The sequence below is a fragment of the Homo sapiens genome, chromosome 1, assembly GCF_000001405.40.
Source record: "Homo sapiens chromosome 1, GRCh38.p14 Primary Assembly".
NCBI classification, from domain to species: Eukaryota; Metazoa; Chordata; class Mammalia; order Primates; family Hominidae; genus Homo; species Homo sapiens.
In genome coordinates, this window is record NC_000001.11 from 9,578,829 (window position 1) to 9,588,506 (window position 9,678).

The 9,678-nt window shown below is 46.0% G+C and overlaps 1 protein-coding gene across 1 annotated transcript in view; it reads left to right on the plus strand.

Annotated features, from left to right (window-relative positions):
* The window catches only part of SLC25A33 (solute carrier family 25 member 33), a 45,709-nt gene extending 39,364 nt beyond the window's left edge, over positions 1-6,345 (plus strand). The window contains exons 6-7 of the mRNA NM_032315.3: positions 1,126-1,406; positions 3,471-6,345. Of these exons, the coding sequence (NP_115691.1) occupies positions 1,126-1,406; positions 3,471-3,673 (484 nt within the window). The 3' untranslated portion in view covers positions 3,674-6,345. The remainder of the gene's footprint in view (positions 1-1,125; positions 1,407-3,470) is intronic.

Genomic DNA, 9,678 nt, shown 5'->3' on the forward strand with positions numbered 1-9,678 from the left:
GTCTCACGGCCTTGTGACTTAATCTAGCAGATATACCGTGGTCAGCTATCTGGATTGTTGTCCTGATTGTTTTGCAGTTGTAGTTCCTCTGTGATGAGCCTTACTGCTCCCTGCAGCTCTTTCTAAAATTAGGTCAAATGCTAATGTTTTTATGAACATGTTTCTATGACTCTTGATACAGATGTAGCTAGTGTTCTGTGGGCCTGTCAGGTGTGCCAGCTACTTGGTCTGGCCTCACAGTGGGCTGGAGGTCAGCTGACAACAGTACAAAGATATGTGGGAAAAACTCTCCTCAAACCATGTTTTTCCTCCACTGTCACACCACAACAGTCATTGACACAGAAGATGACTTCTGTGACCAAATGTGTAGGGGGTTTTCCCCACACACACCAAACAGCGGACACCAGCTGGGTGTCCTCTCATTCACTTCCGACACTGTCTACCAGGAGACAGCCCCACAGATTGGGGGCTCAGTCCCCAGGACTGCCCACCCCCCGCCCACCCACTTACCCACACACCAGTTGTATGTCTGGGCCTCCAGAGCTTCTGAACGACCAGCTTCAAGTTGGGGTTCCCATGACCCTCTCTTTGGATTCTATTAATGTGCTGGAGTGGCTCACAGAACTCAGGGAAACACTTAATGTTTACTGGTTTGTTATAGAGGACATCGCAAGGATACAGAAGAAGAGACAGGTAGGGCCAGGTACAGAGTAAGGGGCGTGGAGCTTTCATACCCTCCCCGGGGGCCACCCTCCAGGAGCCTCCATGCGATCAGCTCTGGAAGCTCCCTGAACCCTGTCCTCTTGGGTTTTTCTGGAAGCTTCATGTCAGCAGCATTCCTTCTCCCAGAGATAGGAGGGGACTCTCATGGAGTAAGACCAACAAGGTAAGGACATTAGAGGATGGCCTTGGGGCAGGTGAAAGGAGATCAAGGGACTGTCAGAGGCTGCCCCTGCGGCCTCACACACCCCACATAACGAAAGACAAGGGCTATGAGAGTTAGGAGCCAGGAAACAAGTATCCTAACACCATAAGGAAGACCCGTACCTGTTCTCCTACTGTGTGATGTCTGTGTTCCACCATGATATGTCTCCTTAACAGCCTGTGTTGGTCTCTTTTATGCAGAGTGAGGGGCTCTAAGCAGATGAATACACTCCAGTGTGCTCGTTACGTTTACCAGACCGAAGGCATTCGTGGCTTCTATAGAGGATTAACTGCCTCGTATGCTGGAATTTCCGAAACTATAATCTGCTTTGCTATTTATGAAAGTTTAAAGAAGTATCTGAAAGAAGCTCCATTAGCCTCTTCTGCAAATGGGACTGAGAAAAATTCCACAAGTTTTTTTGGACTTATGGCAGCTGCTGCTCTTTCTAAGGGCTGTGCCTCCTGCATTGCTTATCCACACGGTATGTTTTGCTTTTGTTCTTCCAGAGCAGTAAAACAGCTGTCACGTTTGTTGTTTGTGGGTATATCTAGACTTCTGAGGCGCACATTGAGGCGCAGGATCCCTGCAGGTAAGGTCAGTGAGTATGAGGGAAACAGCTCTAACCGCATGGACAGAGGTCACGTGAGTGGTGGGAACTCGACCTTACTCAAATCCAGCTGATTATAGCCAAAACTTGTTGTGCAGAAACGCAGGTCCTGGGTTGCTGAACTTTTGCTGTTTTCAAGGAAGCTAAAAATCTGGATTGTATTTAATATTCCTTGAATCAAAATGATAATATGGGAGCCAAACTTACTCAGCCTCGGCGGGGCACGGTGGCTCACGCCTGTAATCCCAGCACTTTGGGAGGCTGAGGCGGGCGGATCATGAGGTCAAGGGATTGAGACCAGCCTGGCCAACATGGTGAAACCCCGTCTCTACTAAAAATACAAAAATTAGCTGGGCGTGGTGGCGCACGCCTGTAGTCCCAGCTACTTGGGAAGCTGAGGCAGGAGAATCGCTTGAACCCGGGAGGTGGAGGTTGCAGTGAGCCGAGATCAAGCCACTGCACTCCACCCTGGCAACAGAGCGAGACTCTGTCTCAAAAAAAAAAAAATAATAATAATAATAATAATAATAATAATCATTCAGCCTCTATTTCTAATGGAGCCTTAAGGCTACTTTGGGTAAGTTTATTTTTTTGAGTTATAGAATTCTTGACCTACTGGCCTACTTATTTTAAAAAATGCTTAGTTTATTGTGCCATGAAAAACAGGTTTTATTTTCATAAGCCTTCTGTACTGTCAGCTATGGCAAATGCATACAGTCAACTCAGTAACAGGTGCTGAGTCCCCTTTGTGTCCTGGAGCACTAAGCTGACCCCAGAGGACATCTGAGGAAAGAGGTCAGTGATGCCTCCCAGGGTCTGAGGTCTGTGTGAGGGCAGGAGTGACGAATGTCCAACTCTAGGTGTCTGGGAAGGAGGCCCAGGTGGGCAAAGGCTGGCAAAGGAGAGGGTGGCTTTTGAGCTGGGCAGAGTAGAAAACGTTTCCAGGAGGAGGAGGAAACTGAAAAATATAAGAAAAGAATTCGTTGAAGGTATTGCCATACTTCATACAAATTAGCATTTGCTTAATTGGGAGTAGAAAACCATGAATTATTTTAACATTAAGTCTCATTGAAACTAAGCTTTTTTTAACCCCTTAAAAGTTATTTTGCTGTAATCCCAGCACTTTGGGAGGCCAAGATGGGCACATCACCTGAGATTAGGAGTTCGAAACCAGGCTGGCCAACATGGCGAAACCCCGTCTCTACTAAAAATACAAAAATTAGCTGGGTGTGGTGGCAGGTGCCTGTAATCCCAGCTACTCAGGAGGCTGAGGCAGGAGAATCACTTGAACCCAGAAGGCAGAGGTTGCAGTGAGCCAAGATCGTACCGACTGCACTCCAGCCTGAGTAATAGAGTGAGACTCTGCCTCAAAAAAAAAAAAAAAAAAGTTATTTTGTACTTTCGTGTATGTGTAAGTGTCCATAGTTGACCAAATCCTAGAGTTGGAAAAGGTTCTAAAAAGAACTTAATTTTTCATTGTCTCTCTAGGTTATGTGACTTTCCTGTCCAAATACAGCTGAGGTGGGAAATAGACACAGTTGTAACCTTGACAATTTTATTTTATTTATTTATTTTTTGAGACAGAGTCTTGCTTGCTCCGTGGCCCAGGCTGGAGTGTAGTGGCACGATCCCGACTCATTGCGACCTTCACCTCCCAGGTTCAAGCGATCCTCATTCCTCAGCCACTCTAGTAGTAGGCGTGCACCACCTTGCCTGGCTAATTTTTGTTTTTCAGTAGAGACGGGGTTTCACCATGTTGGCCAGGCTGGTCTCCAACTCCTGGCCTCAAGTGATCCACCCGCCTCGGCCTCCCAAAGTTCTGGGATTACAGGTGTGAGCCACCGCACCCGGCCTAACCTTGACAGTTTTAAAGTTGTGTGCTGTGGATTCGTTCCCCATTTAATATGTGGCGTAAAGTAGGTCTTTCTCTCTCTGCAGAAGTCATAAGGACGAGGCTCCGGGAAGAGGGCACCAAGTACAAGTCTTTTGTCCAGACGGCGCGCCTGGTGTTCCGGGAAGAAGGCTACCTTGCCTTTTATAGAGGACTGTTTGCCCAGCTTATCCGGCAGATCCCAAATACTGCCATTGTGTTGTCTACTTATGAGTTAATTGTGTACCTGTTAGAAGACCGTACTCAGTAACAGGCCGGAAAATTGTGCTCTAGAAGAATAAAACTGAAAAACTCTAGAGAATTTTTTTTCCCCATTGATGTTTAGAAAGTTTGAGACTGAAACAGGAAAGGCCATAAAATATCTGGTTCATATCACCTGTTGGACATTTCCTTTTGGATTCATGCTTTCTGGAAGGTTTAAATTCATTAACGTTAATAGTTAATTATAACTTTTTTTTTAACTTAAGAGGATTCAGGGTTAAGCACCAACTAAATTAAATCATGCTATTTAATTTAAGTATACATTTGGCTTGTGTCCTCTTTTATGCTCACTATACTATGAAGGACTTAAGTAATTCAGATAAACCTGCCCTAGAACTGCAGAGAAAAATGATAAAGTGAGAATACAACTTGTTTTATAATCTGACTTTAAGATCTTGCACTGCTAGACAGGGAAGAAGTGTCGCATTTTGGCTGGGCACTGTGGCTCACGCCCGTAATCCCAGCACTTTGGGAGGCCGAGGCAGATGGATCACGTGAAGTCAGGAGTTCCAGACCAGCCTGGCCAACATGGCGAAACCCTGTCTCTACTAAAAATACAAAAATTAGCCGGACGTGTGCCTGTAATCCCAGCTACTTGGGAGGCTGAGGCAGGAGAATCACTTGAAACCCAGGGGGCAGAGGTTGCAGCGAGCTGAGATCACGTCACTTCACTCCAGCCTGGTCGACAGAGTGAGACTCCATCTCAAAAAAAAAAAAATTGTGTCACATTTTGGTGGTGGTGTGTGGACCAGGACAAACTTCCCAGCAATTTTTCTTCTTTGTACATTTCCAATTACTTGCAGATTGATCATCTAAGCGTTCAGACTGCTGAGATGAATATATATAACTTTCTGAGACTCAATATTTTAAGCTATAAAAAACTTCCTGAAGTTATCCTTTTCTCCCTACTTTGAACCAAAGGCAAGAATTTTTAAAGAACTGTTTTATCAATGGCCTGGCTCCTGGATATAGTTCCGGAAGTTAAGACCAGTTGCCTTGTTAAGTGTGTTGACAGCACAGCTACCCTGTTTGGCTGTGAATCCAGAATGTGATGAAGAACAGTCATTCCCACTGAGGTCTTTAGCCCTGTTCTTGGACCTCTGCTCTTGCAGAAAAGGAGCACAACGTAGGACTATGGCTCACCCGTCAGAGAGCTCACATTCTGATAGAAAGCACTGGGATTGTTTAAATATCCTAGTTCAACATTAAAAAAAAAAAAAATTTAATCCCAGCACTTTGGGAGGCCAAGGCGGGCAGATCACGAGGTCAGGAGATCGAGACCATCCTGGCTAACACGGTGAAACCCCGTCTCTACTAAAAAAATACAAAAAAATTGGCCATGCGTGGTGGCGGGCACCCATAGTCCCAGCTACTCGGGAGGCTGAGGCAGGAGAATGGCGTGAACCTGGGAGGCGGAGCTTGCAGTGAGCTGAGATGGCGCCACTGCACTCCAGCCTGGGCCACAGAGTGCGACTCCATCTCAAAAAAAAAAAAAAAACCAGGATGTTACCCCCTTGGTTTTAAAGCAAATTTAATAAGGGAACAAAAAGATGATACTAAGAAGAAGGCAAGTAAAACCCCTAGTCTTCCATTAGCTCTTTCACTGGAATTTGAGTATATTGTACATGAAGGTTGGTTTTCAATTTGAACGTCTAGAAAGATACTCATTTCTAATACCTATGCACTGTAGTTTCAGGTTTACTTGCAGACACCCTGGTAGGGTTAAGAGGAGGATATTTCCAAGTTATTTTAAATTGAGTTTACTTTTAACTGGGGTTCTTGACTCTAGTGTAATTGCTCCAACAACTACGTAGAAGTCAAAATGAGTGACTTTAGTGAAGCTTCTGTACTTTACAATACATGACAGTAATGCTATTCCAGAAGTTTTGTTTTGTTTTGTTTTGAGATGGAGTCTCGCTCTGTCTCTCCCAGGCTGGAGTGCAGTGGCACAATCTCGGCTCACTACAGCCTCCACCTCCCGGTTTCAAGCAATTCTCCTGTCTTAGCCTCCTGAGTAGCTGGGACTACAGGCATGCGCCACCACACCTGGCTAATTTTGTATTTTTAGTAGAGATGGGGTTTCACCATGTTGGCCAGGCTGGTCTCAAACTCTTGACCTCAGGTGATCTACCCGCCTCGGCCTCCCAAAGTACTGGGATTACAGGAGGGAGCCACCATACCTGGCCCGCGCCGCCCCTTCCTTTGTTGTTATTGTTGTTTTGAGACAAGGTATCACTCGATCACTGAAGCTGGATACAGTGGCAAGATCATAGCTCACTGTAACCTCAAACTCCTGGGCACAAGGGATCCTCGCATCTCAGCCTCCCAAGTAGCTTGGACCACAGGAAAGTACCACCATGCCCAGCTAATGTTTTTTCATTTTTTGTGCAGACGAGGTTTTGCTATGTTGTCCAGGCTGGTCTCAGACTACTGGCCAGAAGCGATCTTACCTCCTCAGCCTCCCAAAGCACTGGAATTACAGAGTAACATCTAATTTTAATATTCACATTCCTATTTTAATATTCATATTCGATGATGGCACTTAGCAACATCCTCCTATATCCATATTAAAACCTGTTTTCCAAGATTGTGTCTAATATGAAGGTGTAAAATTGCTTTGTTTTCACTCCTTCTTGAATGAATAAATTTGATAGTAACCAATTATAATTTTAGTTTTCTGCTTCTCCTGCCCCAGGGCATGGAAATGCAAGCTGCTTAGGCACCCAAAGTAGGAAAGAAGTGATGGTTCCTCTGTAAAGGGCTCATTAGCTTTAAAAATGGGAAATACCTGTGGTTTTTCTCTTAATTTTTGTGGGTATATAGGAGGTATATATATTTATGGGGTACATGAGATGTTTTGATACAGGCGTGCAACGTGAAATAAGCACATCATGAAGAATGGGGTATCCATCCCTTCAAGCGTGTATCCATTGAGTTGCAAACAATCCAGTTACACTCTTGTTATTCTGAAATGCACAGTTAATGTTGGGGTTGGGTGGTTCACGCTTGTAATCCCAGCACTTTGGGAGGGTGAGGCAGGTGGAGGATCACTTGCGCTCAGGAGTTCGAGACCAGCCTGGCAACATGGTGAAACCCTGTCTTTATTTAAAAAAAAAAAAAAAAGCTGGGTGCGGTGGTGTGCACTTGTGGTCTCAGCTACTCCAGAGGCTGAGGCAGGAGAATGAAGGACTTGAGCCCAGGAGGCGGAGGTTGCCGTGAGCTGAGATGGCACCATTGCAGTCCAGCTTGGGTGACAGGAGTGACCCTGTCTCAAAAGTACGATTAAATTATTATTGACTGTAGTCATCCTGTTGTGCTTTTTTCTTTCTCTTTTTTTAATATAAAGATTTTTTAAATTAAAACAATTTTTTTTTGAGACGGAGTCTCGCTCTGTGGCCCAGGCTGAAGTGCAATGGCATGATCTCGGCTCACTGCAACCTCCACCTCCTGGGTTCAAGCGATTCTCCTGCCTCAGCCTCCCAAGTATCTGGAATTACAGGTGCCCGCCACCACGCCTGGCTAATTTTTGTATTTTTAGTAGAGACAGGGTTTCACCATATTGGCCAGGCTGGTCTCAAACTCCTGATCTCAAGTTATCTGCCTGCCTTGGCCTCCCAAAGTGCTGGGATTACAGGCATTAGCCACCTTGCGGTAGCTCACACCTGTAATCCCAGCACTTTGGGAGGCTGAGGAAGGAGAATTGCTTGAGGCCAGGAGTTCAAGGCCAGCCTGGGCAACATAGGGAGACCTTCTCTTTACAAAAAAATTAGCTGAGCATGCACCTGTAGTCCCAGCTACTTGGGAGGCTGAGGTGGGAGGATCCCTTGAGGCCAGGAGGTTGAGGCTGCAGTGAGCCATGGGATTGTGCCACTCTACTCCAATCTGGACGACAGAGCAAGAGGGGCATCTGAGCCTGTGGAATGGTCTGACTTCAAAGTCAAGATCTGACAAACCATTTCATTCCTTTTACTTAAGAATTACAGATCCATGGATGATACTGCTGATAAAGGTGTGCTTAAACTAATGCACGTAATAGAATTGGCCACATAAAGAGTCCTTTGGGTGGGACATGCAAACTGAATCTTCCTTGGGAAGCAAATGGCACTTAAACACAATGCCTGCCTGCTGTTTTGAGGGAAGATACACCTTAAATGATTATTTTGTTTGCTCATGGCTGGTGAAAGCATCAAGACTGCATGGAAAGGCTTTTGCTGGGATACTCACAAGAAAGAGGAGGTCCAGACCCAAGTGAACCTCCAGGTTTCCTGTCTGCTTCACTTTCCAGTCCCCCTTCCCCCCAGTGAATGTGCATGATTCCGGTGTGGACAGAGGAACTGGCTGCAGGAGCAAAAAAACATTTGCCCTCAATCCATCACTACCCACAAAGAGTTTACAATGTTAACCTCAAAAAAAAAAAAGTGATCAGAACACTGGAACATAGTGTGTAATTAGATACAAATATTTTCTGTTTACTTTTTTAAAACTAGTAATTTAGCTGAAATCAATAATGAAACACAGTGACTCTTCCCCTTGAATCTCCTCCCACCACCAGGTAATCAGTTTGCAGTTCAGTGTTAACTATTCTCCACTTCCCACAAGCACATAAGGCTTTATTTAAGCTTTGGATATTATTTAAAAATCAATCTGCATGTTGCTTTTTCTTTTTCTTTTTCTTTTTTTTTTTTTTTTTGAGATGGAGTCTCACTCTGTTGCCAGGCTGGAGTGCAGTGACGCAACCTCAGCTCGCTGCAACCTCCGCCTCCTGGGTTCAAGCAATTCTCCTGCCTTAGCCTCCCATGTAGCTGGGACTACAGGCGCCCACCACCACACCCAGCTAATTTTTGTATTTTTAGTGGAGACCAGGTTTCACCATGTTGGTCAGGATGGTCTCCAGCTCCTGACCTTGTGATCCGCCTGCCTCGGCCTCCCAAAATGCTGGAATTACAGGCGTGAGCCACCATGTGCCCGGCCTGCATGTTGCTTTTTTGTTGTCGTTTTTGTTTTTTCAGAAGGAGTCTCCTGTCACCAGGCTGGAATGCAGCGGCACAATCTTGACTCGTTGCAACCTCCGCCTCCCAGGTTCAAGCGATTCTTGTGCCTCAGCTTCCCGAGTAGCTGGGATTACAGGTGTGCACCACCACGCCCGGCTAATTTTTGTATTTTCAGTAGAGATGGGGTTTCACCATGTTGCCCAGGCTGGTCTTGAACTTCTGACCTCAGGTGATCCGCCCGCCTCGGCCTCCCAAAGTGCTGGAATTACAGGTGTGAGCCACCGCGCCCTGCCTGCATGTTGCTTTTTAAAAACAATGTATCATCCATCTATGCCAATAACTCCAGATCTGGCTTTCTTTTCTTTTCTTCCTTTCTTTCTTTCCTTCTTTCCTTCCTTCTTTCCTTTCTTCCTTCCTTCCTTCTTTCTCTCTCTCTCTCTTTCCTTGCCTTTCCTTTCTTTTTTGAGAAGGAGTCTCGCTTTTGTCGCCCAGGCTGGAGTGCAGTGGCGCGATCTCGGCTCACTGCAAGCTTCGCCTCCCGGGTTCACGCCATTCTCCTGCCTCAGCCTCCCGAGTAGCTGGGACTACAGGCGCCCGCCACCACGCCCGGCTAATTTTTTGTATTTTTAGTAGAGAGGGGGTTTCACCGTGTTAGCCAGGATGGTCTCGATCTCCTGACCTCGTGATCCGCCCGCCTCGGCCTCTCAAAGTGCTGGGATTACAGGCGTGAGCCACCGCGCCCTGCCTGGATCTGGCATTCTTTCTAATGGTTGCATTATGTTCCGAACTATGGCTGTCCTATGATTTATTCAACCATGTCCCTATCCGTGGATGATCGTGTTTCTAAAAAGCTAGTTTTTCAACCATTAGAGCGGCTCAAGGAGCTGCTAAACAGCACTGGGCGCATAGGCTGGGTTTGACTAGACAGGATTAGCGAGGGGGAAAAAGACTAATTACAAGCAGTTGCGTACTCTGGAGATGCTCCCCTTAGCAGAAGCTCGGT